This window comes from Homo sapiens, chromosome 9 (genome assembly GCF_000001405.40).
Source record: "Homo sapiens chromosome 9, GRCh38.p14 Primary Assembly".
NCBI lineage: Eukaryota > Metazoa > Chordata > Mammalia > Primates > Hominidae > Homo > Homo sapiens.
In genome coordinates, this window is record NC_000009.12 from 130016572 (window position 1) to 130033764 (window position 17193).

At 42.7% G+C, this 17193-nt stretch overlaps 1 protein-coding gene across 38 annotated transcripts in view, besides 4 other annotated features; it reads right to left on the minus strand.

The window, feature by feature from the left end:
* The window catches only part of FNBP1 (formin binding protein 1), a 166693-nt gene that overhangs the window by 129385 nt on the left and 20115 nt on the right, over positions 1-17193 (minus strand). The gene's annotated exons all lie outside the window — the stretch shown is intronic.
* Positions 5995-6114: an enhancer, noted in NCBI's record as "active region_29144". NCBI's record gives its function as "activates an Ori minimal core promoter by ATAC-STARR-seq in GM12878 lymphoblastoid cells {active_cell/tissue: GM12878}" and the evidence as "EXISTENCE:reporter gene assay evidence [ECO:0000049][PMID:35858748]".
* Positions 7450-7600: a silencer, noted in NCBI's record as "fragment chr9:132786300-132786450 (GRCh37/hg19 assembly coordinates)". NCBI's record gives its function as "represses an EF-1alpha promoter that drives an FKBP-Casp9 reporter gene in an ReSE screen in HepG2 liver carcinoma cells {active_cell/tissue: HepG2}" and the evidence as "EXISTENCE:reporter gene assay evidence [ECO:0000049][PMID:32094911]".
* Positions 11624-11673: an enhancer, noted in NCBI's record as "active region_29145". NCBI's record gives its function as "activates an Ori minimal core promoter by ATAC-STARR-seq in GM12878 lymphoblastoid cells {active_cell/tissue: GM12878}" and the evidence as "EXISTENCE:reporter gene assay evidence [ECO:0000049][PMID:35858748]".
* Positions 12653-12822: an enhancer, noted in NCBI's record as "active region_29146". NCBI's record gives its function as "activates an Ori minimal core promoter by ATAC-STARR-seq in GM12878 lymphoblastoid cells {active_cell/tissue: GM12878}" and the evidence as "EXISTENCE:reporter gene assay evidence [ECO:0000049][PMID:35858748]".

The window sequence follows — 17193 nt, forward strand, 5'->3', positions numbered from 1 at the left end:
TGTCTCTACTAAAAACACAAAATTAGCTGGGCGTGGTGGTGCACGCCTGTAATTAGAGCTACTCAGGAGGCTGAGGCAGGAGAATCGCTTGAACCTGGGAGGAGGAGGTTGCGGTGAGCCAAGATCTCGCCATTGCACTCTAGCCTGGACAACAAGAGCAAAACTCTGTCTCAAAAAAAGAAAAGAAAAGAAAATATTTGCTTAATGCATGAATGAGTCAATGGAAACTTCTACTGAATTCTTTCTAGCCTGTGGTCAGAGTTGGTTTTGTTCACATACGTAGTTTATTATGTTGGGTTTCAGGAATGTGCCAGTGACTCTGCAAGGTGCTGGGGATGTAACTGTGAACAGAAGAGTCCCCTGATCTCATGGAGCTGTTAAAAATGTCATTTGGCAGAGCAGGGTGGCTCATGTCTATAATGACAACACTTTGGTAGGCTGAGGTGGGAGAATCACTTGAGCACAGGAGATTGAGACCAGCCTCAGCAACATAGCAAGACCCCATCTCTTTTAAAAAAAAGGTAATTTATGAAGAGCATGCAATAACGTGAGAATTTTACCTATTAAAAAATAATTCAATCATACCATAAGGAGTTCTTCAAGTCCCTGAGATCAGCTGCAAAAAAAAGCTAAAAGTCTCTAGTACATGGCTGCCTTCCCTAAGCTGTTGCCAAAGAATGTGAGATATCTAAGTGTTTATATACCTATAAACCTAGCACAAGTGTTTTCTTTTCATTAATTATACACGGGTAGTTGGTTCTACTTAATAACTGAACAGTATTCAGCTTTAAAAAATAAACATTAACAGATATTTCAAAGAAATCCCACCATGTTTGGCTCTATTTTTAAGTGGCTTTAAATTATTTGTTGCTTCATCTCATTTCAATGTTTTGAGCTCCTATTTCTGTTACAAATTTCTTCTAGGCAAATGTGAATGTAATTAACACACTAATATCATGTTTTAAAAACAAATCCAGGCTGGGTGCGGTAGCTCACGCCTGTAATCTCAGCACTTTGGGAGGCCAAGGCAGGAGGATCACTTGAGGTTGGGAGTTCAAGACCAGCCTGGCCAACATCGCGAAACCCAGTCTCTACTAAAAATACAAAAATTACCCAGGTATGGTGGTGGGTGCCTGTAGTCCCAGCTACTCTGGAGGCTAAGGCAGGAGAATCACTTGAACCCGGAAGGCAGAGGTTGCAGTGAGCTAAGATCGCACTACTGCACTCCAGCCCGGGTGACAGAGTGAGACTCCATCAAAAAAATAAAAAACAATGGACATCATGGTCTGGTCTAACGTGGTTTTTTTTTTTTTTTTTTTTTACCTCCCCAATACAACACTCTTCTTTTTTTTTTTTTTTTGAGACAGAGTTTCACTCTGTCGCCCAGGCTGGAGTGCAGCGGTGCAATCTCGGCTCACTGCAAGCTCTGCCTCCTGGGTTCATGCCCTTCTCCTGCCTCAGCCTCCCAAGTAGCTGGGACTACAGGCACCTGCCACCACGCCTGGCTAATTTTTTAATATTTTTAGTAGAGACAGAGTTTCACTGTGTTAGCCAGGATGGTCTCGATCTCCTGACCTTGTGATCCACCCACCTCGGCCTCCCAAAGTGCTGGGATTACAGGCCTGAGCCACTGGGCCCGGCTAATACTCTTCCCTTTTGTTTAAAAAAAAAAGTGTGTTTAAAGTGTGTGTGTGTGTGTATGTGTATATATATATCATACAATTTGCCATGTTAATCATTTTTAAGTGAATAGTTCTGTTGCATTAAGTACAATACTATTATTATTTCCATTTACCGATGAGGAAACTAACATAGCAGTGAAGTGACTTCACCCCTACTAGTAAGACAGAAACCCTGTGACAGGCATGCAGGCAGCCAGCTCTAGCGTCTCAGGCTGTAGAGCCTACAAACCTCCCTCTTCCTTGCAATAAAAGACTTGGTGTGACCAATAGTGCTGTAAATTTTTAGTTTACTCATTTGGGTATTTATTTATTTATTTATTTATTTATTTAGAGACAGTCTCACTCTGTCACCCAGGCTGGAGTGCACTGGTGCGTGATCTCAGCTCACTATGCTGCCCAGGCTGGTCTCGAACTCCTGACCTCAAGTCACCCGCCCATCTCTGCCTCCCAAAGTGCTGAGATTGCAGACATGAGCCACCATGTCCAGCCAAGATAGTCTACTTTTAAGTACAGTTGCTTATCACATAAAAAATAAGAATATAGTGTAGCTAAATTGTACAAGGAGAATTTCTACAAACTGTAAATTCTTGTTCCCTGAAAACCTGAAGTGGGGACTTTATTTTAAGCAAGCAAGAATCATCTTTTGCTAGCTAGAAACAGTAAAATAATATATCAAAAAAGATGATTAGGGCTGGGCACAGAGACTCACGCCTGTAATCCCAGCACTTTGGGAAGCCGAGGCAAGTGGATCGCCTGAGCTCATAAGTTCAAGACCAGCTTGGGCAATATGGTGAAACCCTGTCTCTACCAAAAATACAAAAAAATTAGCCGGGCATGGTGGCCTGCATCTGTGGTCCCAGCTACTCAGGAGGCCGAGGTGGGAGGATCGCTTGAGTCTGGGAGGCAGAGGTTGCAGTCAGCCAAGACTGCGTCAAGGCACTCCACTCCCGCCTGGATGAGAGTTAGACTTCCAGGAGACGGAGGTTGCAGTGAGCCGAGATCGCGCCACTGCACTCCAGCCTAGCGACACAGCAAGACTCTGTCTCAAAAAAAAAAAAAAAAAGATCAAATTGTTATATTTCTCCCCCAGATAAAAATGATCATAAGCCAGCCAAATGATTTTTTTTGGATTAAACTAACAATTAGATTGCATAGGTTTCATAAAAAGTCTTTATAGGTTCAATAGTGATGTCAGATGAAAGATACAACTTTGGAGTGATTTAAGAAAATATTTTGGAATATCAATTTTGTAACTTGCTGAAGTTTACAAAAATCAATGAGTGAACTTCCAAAAGCAGATCATCATGACTGCTCCATCTGGAACCAAAATCTGCCATATAAATTCAAATTTGGCAATAGTTAACTGGAAAGAAATAAATGATAACCACTCTTGCTTGTTTTGTTGTTTGTTTTGATCTTTGGAGTAATGGCTAGCCAGAGAGAAACCTCATTTTTTTCAAGTGGTCAAATGCATAATGCTTATTTTATTTACTTATTTATTATTTTTTATTTTCATTTTTTTGAAACGGAGTCTCGCTTCATCACCCAGGTTGGAGTGCCTCCCAAAGTGCTGGGATTACAGGCGTGAGCCACCGCGCCCGGCCCACAATGCTTATTTTATCTATGCAAACACTGGGCTATTTTCACAGGACCTCATTAGATTAAAAACAAAACAAAACAAAAAAGGCTACAGAACTTGAGAGTGGCTGCCATGGTCCCTTTTAAAGCTGTTCTAGCTGCTGATTTGCCTTTTAGGCAACAGAATGATGTTTAATCACATTTCTCAATGTGAATACTAAGAAGGAAATTCCTGTTGGCTGTCAAAACGCTACCATGATACAAATAGCATCAAAAGCAGTGACTCTGCCTAGGAAACAATGTGAATGATGTTCATTTTCATACCAACGACATAGATCTCATTTCATCAGAGGACTCCAGAATGGTCTTTTGACTTTTCTTTTTCGTTTCTTTTGAGATGGAGTCTAGCTTTGTAGCCCAGGCTGGAGTGCTGTAGCGCGACCTTGGCTCACTGCTTACCTCTGCCTCCAGGTTTCAAGTGATTCTTGTTGCCTCAGCCTCCCAAGTAGCTGGGATTACAGGCGCCCGCCACCACGCCCGGCTAATTTTTGTATTTTTAGTAGAGACAGGGTTTCACCATGTTGGTCAGGCTGGTCTCGAACTCCTGGTCTCAAGTGATCCACCCGCCTTGGCCTCCTAAAGTGCTGGGATTACAGGAGTGAGCCAGCGTGCCCAGCTTATTAGGCAATTTTTTTTCTTTTTGTTTTACTAAGTGCTGCCTATTTGAGAAAAGCAATACCATAACTTTAAAGCCACTGTTTCTGTAACACTTAAACTACTTCGCATCAACATAAAACCAAAAGGTACTAAGAATTTAGCAACAACAAAAGTTACCAATAGAAATAGAAAATTAATATGCTACGCCAACTCAGCGGAGACACAGTCCAATTCAAACCTTAAGTTTCTTGCACTGTGCTCTGAATGCCTTAACAGATTCAAGGGAGGTTAACATTCGAGAACTTTGAAAAGCTGCCATTTTTCTCATGTGGCAGGCAGCTTTCAGGCCTTCGTTCCCATTGCAGGAACAACGGGGAATGTAAAATGAGATGGCCCCGTTAGGTTGTGGTACTTAGACTTAGTGCCAACATCCTCTATCACTGAAACGAACTGAAATCCCTATGAAATACTCAGATCCCTGCCTCTGATTTTTAAAAAAACAAAACATCACTGCTGCTTGCTTGGTTGGTGAAAAACAGAAGAGAATAAAACATTTCTCCAAAACGTCAAATTGCTGGTTATTTTTTTCCAAGTACTTCTGATATAGGATAACAAAAAAAGTGGTCATTCAGAACAGGTGAGTTGTAGGCAATGACACATTAGTAGAGCAGTATCTAGAAATCTCATGCCTATTAAACTTAAGGACAGTTGTCAAGCCATTTCTTATCTATTTTTTGTGGCACCTAAATCAGTGCCTGGCACAATACATGTTTGTGGAAATGAATCACAACACAGGGAAACTGAATGATGTTTATAGTCCATCTAACTATAGTGGTTTAAAAAAAGAACCAAATAGTTATTTTCAGCCACATGCTGTAATTACTGTAAAGTATTTTTAAAAGTTCGCCTTGAACACTCACTGCAAATACCATTTTCTGCTACTTCAGCTTACTTCTCCCACGTGCCATGAGAAGTCTACCATTAGCCAACTTGACTAAAAGCCACTAAATACTGGTTTTAGTAGATAGCTTAATGACTGATTTGGTGGAAATTACTTTGCAGAAATAACAATTTCCAATTAATTATTTGAATTTAGTTTAATGTTGTGGGTGTATTTTAAAATAGCACCTAATATACTCTCATTACCTGTTTTGCAACAGGGAGTAAGTACACAGACAATCATTAAGGAGACTTCAAAAAAAAACACAGCAATCTTTCATTACTCAGGAGAAAATTTATAGATCCCGCTGAACCGTTAAAGATCAATTGTTTTATACAGCATTTGCATTGGCTTTTAAATTTCCAAACACCAAGGAGTGTCCATCCCAAATTAGCCCTTTGTCGTCTAAGAGATAGCTAAGATGCCCAGTACTAACCTGTTGTTTTTTCCTGAAACAAGGTCTTGCTCTGTTGCCCAGGCTGGAGTGTAGTGGTGCTATCTTGGCTCACTACAGCCTTGACCTCCTGGGCTCAGGTGATCCTCCCACCTAAGCCTCCCAAGTAGCTGGGACCACAGGTGCAGGCTACCATGCCTGGCTAACTTGTATTTTTGTAGAGACAAGGTCTCACCATGTTGGCCAGGCTGGTCTCAAACTCCTGGGCTCAAGTGATCCACCCGCCTCAGCCTCCCAAAGTGCTAGGATTACAGGCGTGAGCCATTGCACCCAGCCTCTTTCTCTTCTTTTTAATTTGAGGTGAAATTCATCTAACATAAAATTAACTTTTTTTTTTTTTTGAGACGGAGTCTCACTCTATCACCAGGCTGGAGTGTAGTGGCGCGATCTCAGCTCACTGCAATGTCTGCCTCCTGGGTTCAAGCAATTCTCCTGCCTCAGCCTCCTGAGTAGCTGGGATTACAGGCACGCGCCAAGATGCCCGGTTAATTTTTTTGTATTTTTAGTAGAGATAGGGTTTCACCATGTTGGCCAGGCTGGTCTTGAACTCCTGACCTCAGGTGATCCACCCACCTCGGCCTTCCGAAGTGCTGGGATTACAGGGGTAAGCCACCGTGCCCGACCTTAAGAATACAGTTAAGAATACTGTTTGGTATACTAAGCAGGCATATTTTACATAGTTACAAGTAGAAAATGAGTTACAAAGCTTTGGGTTCAAAGTATAGAACATCAACACTTTGTCTTAATATCCTCAATAAAAATTTCACACAAATACCAACACTCGCTCTTTTTTTTTTTGAGACAGGGTTTCACTCTGTGGCCTGGTGTGCAGTATGCTGGTGTGCAGTGGCTCAATCACCGCTCACTGCCGCCTTGATCTCCTCAGGCTCGGGTGATCATCCCACCTCACCCTCCCAAGTACCTAGGACTACAGGTGTGCGTTAGCACGCCCAACTAATTTTTGTTTTTGTTTTGATAGAGACAGGGGTTGGCCGTGTTGCCCAGTGTAATCCCAGCACTTCAGGAGGCTGAGGCAGGAGGACTGCTTGAGGCCAGGAGTTTGAGACTAGCCTGGGCAACAAAGCAAGACCCTGTCAAAAAACAAAAACAAAAAACAGAAGAAGGATTAATAGTTACATTAAGAAGAATGAGGCGGCTAAGGAAAAGAAACCCCCACCAAGATATTATAAGTGGTAAAAGGTACCAAAAAGTGTGACTAGTATGCTAACATTTGTAAGGGAGGGGGGAATTTACTCATAAATGCTTGATAGCTCTCTGGAAGAATTCACAAGAAACCAGTTATGGTGGTTGCCTCCAGGGAAGAAAAAAAAAAATCCCCTAATGACTGGGGCAGTCACACACCAGGTGTGGCCTATTCAAAAATACATAAACAAGTAAGAAATAAATCATGCTTTTAAAATCTGGCTTTTCCCCCAATTCCCCTTCTTTAACAGAGTGTATTCAATCTTGGCTGAACCCTCAGAGCTCACTGGCGTGTGTAACTGACTTTAGAGAGAGCCAGGAGGTCGGGATTGCACACAATAGGGTTAGCTGAAGGTGAAGCACCTAGGGCTAGAGACTTCCCCGGCCAAGGGCAAGGCAGAGCTGGGATAAAGGAGTTCAAAGCCCTGAGGTGGAAGAAGGCTGGTGCATATAAAGAAGGAGAAGGCAGCCTGGCCGGAGGAGACTGTGTTGCAAGAGGGACCAGCAACATAAAAGGATTGTCTAAATTTAGCTTTACTTGGAGTTGGGAAGTCCTTGTTGGGTTTCTGCTCAGATCTGAGCCCCACTCACTCCATGTTAGGTGATCTGGGTTCCTAAGTGTTCTCCCAACAGTACCCTCTCGGTGATGCCTACAGGATCCCATGGAAACGTCATCCTTTTATCGTGAGCATTTGGCATCTTACTCAGTTTCCCTGGACTCAATCTTCCATCCACGTGAGTGTATCCTACATTTCCCTCTAGTCTTTTTTCCTTTCCTTTCTTTACTTTTGCCCCATGTCCCTAGGACTGGCCCACAATTCAGACTGGTTACCAAGTACCTAGTGTATAAAATAGTACCCTTTACTCTCCCTGTGAGCTGCCTTGCCTGATCTCGGCCACATCTGAAGAATCAACATACATATAACCTTTAGGTTGGCTTACATTTGCCGTCATTTAACCCCCAGGTCCCTCACCCCAAGCTTGTGAGCTGGGTGGGGTCCATACTACAAGCAAATATTATCTAAATAAACAGAACTTGGCCAGGCTCAGTGGCTCATGCCTGTAAGTAATCCCAACACTTTGGGAGGCTGAGGCAGGAGGATCACTTGAGGCCAGGAGTTCAAGGCTAGCCTGGGCAACATAGTGAGATCCTATCTCTACCCCCCCCAAAAAAACAGGAAATAATAATAAATAAGAAATTTACAAAATTAAAAAATTAGCTGGGCGTGGTAGTGTGCACCTGAGTCTTAGCTACTGGGGAGGCTGAAGTGGGAGGATGGCTTGAGGCCAGGAGGTTGAGGCTGCAGTGAGCTCTGACAGTGCCTGGGTGACAGAGCAAGACCCTGCCTGTCTCAGACTATTGCACATTGGTGACACGTAATTGAACACTGCTAATGGAGAGTATCTGTTGCCCACTCATGCAACTAACATTTTACATTTTCAATTTTTCTCTAACAATCCAATGCCAATTTCTAGATCTGCTTGAAGTTATCAGAAAGTCTTTATCCCACCCAACTACTTCCAACTTCTCTCTAGGGTTTTCTTCCATCTCTAATGACTGTTCATTCCGCTTTCTCAATTACTGGCATTTCATAATCCAAGGAAAGTGAGAAAGTGAAGGAAGAAGCCATCGTATCATCCTGTTTTTCATTTCCATCAGGTGGTTGAATCTTTTTGGCAAATAAAGCACTTGACTGCCTAAAATTTTTCTGCAATGACATTGTTTATCTACCTTACTCACTTGCTGATCTGCCAAACTGACAAAATAAACAATAAACCTTAGCCAAAAGGTTTCTGTTCAGCAAACTACTCCCTGATGCCAGGCGGCTCACGCTTGTAATCCCAGCACTTTGGGAGGCCGAGGTGGGTGAATCACCTGAGGTCAGGAGTTTGAGACCAGCCTGGCCAACATAGTGAAACCCTGTCTCTACTAAAAATACAAAAATTAGCCGGGCGTGGTGGTGCACACCTGTAATCCCAGCTACTCAGGAGACTGAGGCAGGAGAATTGCTTGAACCCAGAAGGTGGAGGTTGCAGTGAGTGGAGATCGCGCCACTGCACTCCAGCCTGGGTGACAGAACGAGACTCTATCTCAAAAAAAAAAATAGTCCCTGACATTTTTGCCTATGGAGTCACACCCAAGACATTCAATCTATGTACCGAGTGCCTCACAACTTAAGGAATGTGCCTGATGATTCTAGGTGTGTGTCACTTTTTGAATTGTTGAACCCTTTACAAACCTCCTGTTAACATTAGCATTTATTTGAGCTACAGTGTGGGACTCAACATAAAATTTCTAAGTAAAGTTTCTAACTTTAGAAATCGTCTATTGTAATTGGCATTGCCATGTTATCTGCTCATTATGAATCAGTACTCCTAGGATCACTATTTCAGTGTCAGTTGATCCTGGAACTCAGATTACCTTGAAACACTTGAGTTGAAGGGACTCGAGGTCACACAGTCTAGTTTATACCAAATTCATTGATCACGTCCACAATACCCCTAATAAAAAAGTGATCATTCAGTCTCGACATGGAATTCAAGATATCAATGGAAGGCCGGGCGCAGTGGCTCACGCCTATAATCCCAGCACTTTGGGAGGCCTAGGCGGGTGGATCACCTGAGGTCAGGAGTTCCAGACCAGCCTGGCCAACACGGTGAAACCCTGTCTCTACTAAAAATACAAAAATTAGCCGGGCGTGGTGGCACATGCCTGTAATCCCAGCTACTTGGGAGGCTGAGGCAGAAGAACTGCTTGAACCCAGGAGGTGGAGGTTGCAGTGAGCCAAGACCGTGCCACTGCACTCCAGCCTGGGTGACAGAGACAGACTCTATCTCAAAAAAAGAAAAAAAAGATATCAATGAAATATCATGACAACCAGCAACATGTGGAGGTGGATAATGATAGCCAACACTAGTAGAGTTTATTTCGCATATAATCTTATGGAGTAGGCACTATCATTATCTCCATTTTACAGATGAAGGAACTGAGGCTAAATGACTTGTCCAAAATCAATCAGTTAGTTAATGTCAGGATATGAACCAAGCAGTCTAGCTCCAGATCCACACTCTTGAACAATATGACACACTGACTAAATTGTAGAAATCTTTTAAGAATGAGAAAATTGGCCAGGCACGGTGGCTCATACCTGTAATCCCAGAACTTTGGGAGGCTGAGGTGGGTGATCATCTGAGGTCAGGAGTACGAGACCAGCCTGGCCAATGTGGCAAAACCCCGTTTCTACTAAAAATACCAAAATTAGCCAGGCAGGGTGGCATGCGCCTATAGTCCCAGCTACCTGGGAGGCTGAGGCAGGAGAATCGCTTGAACCTGGGAGGCGGAGGTTGCAGTGAGCAGAGATCATACTACTGCACTCCAGCGTGGGCAACACAGCGAGACTCTATCTCAAAAAAACAAACAAAAAAAAGATCTTAAAATAAATATTCTTTCAAGATTTGAGGAGTGAACACAATGAATAAGCAGCAGAGACAGAACTAGATCTGAGATGCCTAACTTTAGTCTGGCTGATTTACTGCCTCCAGAACAGTAATTCTATTTCACAACTAAAGCTATAGAAAGTTGTGGGTCAGGTGCAGTGGCTCACGCTTCTAATCTTAGCACTTTGGGAGGCCAAGGCGGGTGGATCACTTGAGCCCAGGAGTTTGAGACCAACCTGGGTAACATGGCAAAACCCTGTCTCTACCAAAAAACAAAAAACAAAACACAAAAATTAGATGGGCATGGTGCTCACACCTGTTAGTCCTAGCTACTTGTGAGGCTGAGGTGGAAAGATAGCTTGAGCCCAGGAGGTGGAGGTTAGAGTGAGCCAAGACTGCACCACTGCACTCCAGCCTGGGCAACAGAGCCAGACCCTGTCTCAAAAAAAAAAAAAAAAAAGTTTTGTCTTTTGTTTTATATTCCTCAAAACAACACTTCTGAAGTAGATTGGCATGGCTCATATTTCAAGGAAGAGGAAATGAAATTTGGGGGGGAAATGGCAAAACCATATCTTACTAAAGGAAATTGCAATGAAATGTCCCCTTTTGTGACTCAGTGGTTATGTGGTTATGACAATAATGTAAAAACCCTGAGATTTTATGAAAAATGACAGAATCACCATATTCAAAGTGTATGATCATGTGACAAGAACCTTAGAAAAAACTGTTTATGGAGTTTGCATTATGAAGACATTAAGCCATCATGAAGTCTTAATGTCTTCACATCAGAGCTTTTTGGTTTGCTATTTTCTCATTTTCAGATAAAAAAGTATAAAACTCTTTGAATGTTCCTCAACTTTTAAATTTCATATTCTAAGCATTTTTTCAAAGAGACAATGATTTCATTTTATCTTTAAACTAGAATAAAAGGATACATGGTAGCTTTGTCCTTGAATAAATGAAGAAGGGGTAGTGTTAATACTATCTATTACAACTTCTAAGGATATTGTTCCAGTTACTATTGTTGTATAATAAATCACTCCCAAAACTTGATGGGAAACAACCATTTTATCATGGGTCAGGAATTTGGACAGGGACAACTTTTCTCTGCTCCATCATTGCTGAGGCCTCAGCTGGGAAGGCTTACAGGCTGGGGGGACCCAACTGCTGGGCGTTAGAATCATCTGGAAGCCCTTCACTCATATGGCTGGCAGCTAAGTATGACTGTTGGTTGAGACCTCGACTGAGCTGTCAACAGGAACCTCTATGGTTGGCTTCTCCGTATGTCTCTCTATGTGTGCTGTTTGGGCTTCCTAACAATATGGTGACTGGGTTTTAAAAGTAAGTATCCTAAAAGCGCAAGAAAAAAACGCACGGCTATTTGTGATTCTGCTTCAGAAATCATTAAAAAAAAAAATAGGGTCTCATTGTGTTGCTCAGGGTAGTCTCAAACTCGTGTGTTCAAACAATCATCCCCCTCACCTCTACCCCCACCTGGGCCTCCCGGAAAAACCAGGATTCCAGGTATGGGCCACCATGCCTGGGGGCATCACTTTAACCATACTCTATTGGTCAAGGCTGTCACACAGATCTGCCTAGATTCAAATGAAAGTGGTATAAGTCCCTTCTCACCCACTCAGTGGGAGGAGTCTTGAGATCACATTGTAAGATGAGCAATGTGGGATGGGCAATATTGTTGTGGACATCTTTCCAAAATATAATCTGTCCCACATGTGAAGTATCTCTAAGAAAGATAAAGAGGAAAGTTAAACGATATCAGGTACAACAGAAATCTCAGTCAACAAGGTGTGAACTGAGTAATTCTAAACTTTCTCTTTTTATCTCCATGTCAAAATAAGCACATGGGCAGCTTTCAAAGGAAAAGCCTACACTATTAGTCTGTCTTCAAAAGCCTATTAGAATGATGTGTGATATTAACTTCTGATTACTACCAAAAATTGAATGCCCATCAGTGGACATTTTTTTTTTTCCACTTATGACTTGGTACATTAGTTCTACTTCTAAGCCTATCAGAACCTCCAGCTCCACTTATTATGTTGTTATAACAATTTGCAAACCAATAAACTCTTAACAGTCTATACCCCTCCCAGTCTAAAACACGGTTCACACAATGGTTCTCAGTGAGGTAAACACTTTGGCAAACAGAGTGCAGAGTTACTGTCCAAAAGGGCAACACGTTATGACAGCTATGCTAGGTAACAGAGTTCCAAAGTTAAATAAAGTGCTTGGAGGAATGCAACTCTGCCAAGAGCTTAGCATTTTACCAACTTAATTCTAGCTTTCTGGTTATCCAAATTTATATCTCCAGGCTGGATCTCTTCCCTGGGCTCCAGATGCATATACTAGGCTATCGACGCAATATTAGATAATTAGTTATATAACAGGCATCTTGTAAAATGTCCAGCACTACACTTCTTCTCCCCATCAAGCTCAATCCTACTGTTCTCCGTCTCATTCCCTTGTTTTTGTCCATAGCATTTATCATTATCTGACACACTGTAAATACAGATTACATATAAGCAAAACATTTTTTACTATTTGGTTAACTGCCATTTTCCCTTTGCCTAGAACAATGCTTGGCACATAAGTAGTTTAAAATATTGTTCTTTCTCTTTTCTTTTTTTTTTCTGAAACAGGGTCTTGCTCTGTCGCCCAGCCTGGAGTGCAGTGGTGCAGTCACTACTCACTGTAGCCTCAACTTCCTGAGCTCAAGCGATCCTCCCAACTCAGCCACCTCTGGCTAATTTTTTGTAGAGATGGAGTTTCACCATGTTGCTCAGGCTGGTGTCAAACTCCTGGGCTCAACCGATCCGCCCATCTTGGCCTCCCAAAGTGCTAAAATTAGAGGCATGAGCCAGCATGCTCAGCCCTATAATCTTTTTCAAATGAATTAATGAATGATGACTTATCTGGGTACCTGAATAAGTCATTACTAGAAAACCATAGAGAACAAAGAGTACCTTAAAATGATGATAATGTTTGTCAGTAGCTGACTGGGTAAGGAAGTAGAATATTGCTAGATTTTAGATTTGCTATAAAGAATAAAAATGAGCAAAAACTGAGAATGCATGAGAAGGAATCAAAATGTTAAACAGTGCTACCTAAGCCACATCAAAACTACCTAGAAGAGCTTTTAAAATGACAGATTCTTATAAACGGCCAAGTGCAGCGGCTCACACCTGTAATCCCAGCACTTTCGGAGGCCAAGGCAGGGGGATCGCTTGGACTCAGGAGTTCAAGACCAGCCTGGGTGACATAGCGAGACAACATCTCTACAAAAAATGCAAAAATCAGCCTGGTGTGGTGTTGCCGGCCTGTAGTCCCAGCTACTTGGGAAGTTGAGGTAGGAGGATTGCTTGAGCCCGGGAGGTCAAGGTTGCAGTGAGCCTTGATTGAGCCACTGTACTCCAGCCTGGGTGATGGAGTACAAACAAACAAAAATTACAGATTCTTACACATAAAAAAACTACAGATTTCTCAGACTTGCCAATTTGGGGAATGCTAGAAAGTGATGAGATAATAAATATCCAGCATTCAATCTGGGTACCTGAATATAATCGCAGGCATGAAAGATTGAATAGAGATTGGAATTAAAAAGACCTAAACAGGGCCAGGCACACTGGCTCATGCCTGTAATCCCAGCACTTTGGGAGGCCAAGGTGGGTGGATCACTTGAGGTCAGGGGTTCAAGACCAGCCTGGCTAACATGGTGAAACCCCACCTCTACTAAAAATACAAAAATTAGCTGGGCGTGGTGGGGCACACCTGTAATCCCAGCTACTCAGGAGGCTGAGGCAGGAGAATCTCTTGAAACTGGGAGCCGGAGGTTGCAGTGAGCCGAGATTGCACCATTGCACTCCAGCCTGGGTGACAGAGCAAGACTCCGTCTCCAAAAAAAAAAAAAAAAATCTAAACATAACTAACTGTGCTATAGTCTGCCTAAAGAAAGAATGGGTTAACAGGAAAGGAATCACCTACACAGCATCTATAAAACAGACTCTATTCTAACTGTAACGTAGACTGTCCTCCAGAGGAGGCAGAAGCCTAGGGCTCCCATTGTCATCAGCCATTACACTCATCCAATCCTATTTTCATTTTATGCTCTCCAAGAAATGCTATAAAGAATTTAGCTTTCCACCCAGATTAGCCTACAGGGCGAGAACGTACGGATCAGCCAACATGAATATTCAGTCTGCTTATGAATATACTTCTCACTATAAGTTTAAAATTCATTCTGGTTTATTCAACAGGCTTGGGAATTAGGTTAGTGTGAGTCACCTCCAGGCATATTGAAAATAAGAAATTTGCTAGCTTAAAAGAGCTGGGGAACAAACCCTGATAACCCTAACAAGGTTGTATCATCTGAGCAGAGACAGAGAGGACAAGAATAAAGTGCTGGTAGGTTTAGGTTTTGCACCCAGCTGGTGGAAAAAAGGACCTGTGGCCTATATTTGATTTACCCCACAAGCCAGAGCAGGGAACATGCCTCCCCCTTGAACATCTTGAAGTGGGAGGAGGCAGAGGGTGGCTCCTAGGCCTTCTTTGTTCACTACTAGGCCTTCCCTTGAATGTCCAAGGCTCCCCAGCAATCCATTTTAGCCTTATTCCACCCACATATAAACAGGTTGAGAAATGCAATAGATAGAAAGGCTCTCTACTGAAACCCACTCCAGTAATCCAGTCAGCCAATCGGCCCAGCGTGGCCTGAAGCTACCGAGCTCCTCTCCATCCTTCTCCACACTGAAAACTGGCACCATAGGTACCTGCTTTCAGCAGTTCAAGGGTATTTCCCATGCTCTCAAGGTGAGGTCATAGTCCTCACATGGTTTTTAGCTATAGTCTGCCTCTTCAGGCTCCTATTACAACTCCATCACCTGCTCATCATTTGAGAGCTCTGTGCCCTCCATGACCCTTTGGACATACCATTTCCTCCTTCTTTTCCCGGAAGGCTCTGTCCAGATCCCCTCCACCCTTCTGAACACCCCACTTCACCTGTAAAACTTACTAGTCCTTCAGGACTCCACTTGGATGCCATTTCCCCACCTGAGTTACACTCCTGTACACATTTCCATGGAGTTACCCTACCTTAGTCCTTATTACACAATAATTTCTTTCTTTCTTTCTTTCTTTTTTTTGACAGGGAGTCTCGCTCTGTTGCCCAGGCTGGAGTGCAGTGGCACAATCTCAGTTCACTGCAACATCCACCTCCTAGATTCAAGCGATTCTCCTGCCTCAGCCTCCCGAGTAGCTGGGATTACAGGCGAGCGCCATCATGCCTGGCTAAGTTTTTTGTATTTTTAATAGAGATGGGATTTCACCATGTTGGTCAGGCTGGTCTCAAACTCCTGACCTCATGATCTGCCCGACTCGGCCTTCCAAAGTGCTGGTATTACAGGAGTGAGCCACTGCGCCTGGCCTGATGAAATTTTTACAATTTTGTTTGGTTTCCTTTTATGTACAAAGTTATAAACACTGAGCACTACCACCACTACTCCTCTTGCCAAAAATGGCCGTAACAAGAACTAAACCTCTCCTAGAATGACAGGGAGACTTCACACGTACACCTTACTTTTGAAACTGAACAATGTAAATAGCCTATTTTTAAGGATAAGTTAAAATAAACTTTTTTTTTTTTTTTCCCAGACAAGGTCTTGCTCTGTCACCCAGGCTGGAGTGCAATGGCACAAATACAGCTCACTGCAGCCAGCCTCCAACTCCTGGTCTGAAGTGATCCTCCCATCTCAGCTTCCCAAGTAGCTGGGACTACAGGCATGCACCACTATGCCCAGGTAATTTTTTAATTTTTAGTAGAGATGGGATCTCAGTATGTTACCCAGGCTGGTCTTGAACGCCTGAGTTCAAGCTATCCTCTCGCCTTGGCCTCCCCAAATGCTGGGATTACAGGTATGAGCCACCGTGCCTGGCCAATAAGTAAAATGTAAATTTTAAAAGTCAGTCATGGTGAAGAATATATTTTACATACACATATACACTTATGAAATCTAAATGTCCTTGCCCAAACATTTCCAGAAATTTCCATATCTGTTCCAATGCAAATACTTCTAAACCTCTTCATTATCTCTGCCAAGAAGAAATCAATCCCAAACTAAGCTGATAGGCAGAATAATTCATTAGATGTTTCAAGCAGCAAATATCCAGCTTTTTAGGTGAGGAAATAATGTGACTTCAGTGGAACTTTTTTTTTTTTAAAGTGGTAATAATAGCCAAAGAAAATTAATTCCCCCTAGAAAAAACTTAAATCTTAAGAAGGCCCAAGTATACTGCTAAAAATTAGTATGATTAGTGTTTTGGAGTGGATTTTATTTTTCTTCAAGGAGGAAAAGATAAACATGCTATTAATATGACCTCCTGAAATCCAGATTTCCTGTCCAAAGCAACGATTTCCAGGCATTTTCCAAATATTAGGTTTATTGTATTGTTAACATGTACACCAAATTTTAAATCAGAAGGCTAGGACAGAAAATAGCTCATTTTTCATGAATCCTGCTTACCGCAGGAGAGTTCTACAGTTTGTTCCCAGGGACCAGAGTTTTTTTCATTAACCTTCCCCATGATTATAATAATTTGTGTTTACCTATCACCTTTCATCCAACAACCTCAAAGTACTTTACGAACAATCTCTCACCTTTATGCCTTCTTGTCAAGAGAAAGGCAAGCATCATACCATACTTTATAGATTGGGAAAGCGAGGAACAGAGATGCAAGGACTTGCCCGATACTAATAAATATTAGATTAGGTAAGCAAGGCAACCCAGGCTGAGCCCTCCAGCACTGCCTCACTCAACTGGGAGCACCCACACCGTTTGTCCCCAGAGCCTGTCTGGTCTTTAAATGGATTTCAGGAACCCGTTCTCAATTTTGGCTGTGCAAATAGAAGTACAAGGGGAGGAGATTCCTTTACAGGTCCCAAGTTTTCTTCTGCTATAGATAATAGAGAAAGTGTTTCGTTTCTTGTTCCTGAAGACTCAAAACTTTAAAACCCTGAATGTCGGCCAGGCATGGTGGCTCACGCCTGTAATCCCAGCACTTTGGGAGGCCGAGGCCGGTGATCACTTGAGGTCAAAAGTTCAAGTCCAGCCTGGGCAACACAGGAAGACCCCCCCACCTCTACAAAAAAAACTTTTTTAAAAAAGTTAGCCAGGCCGGGCTGGGCACGGTGGCTCACGCCTGTAATCACAGAATTTTGGGAGGCCGAGGCG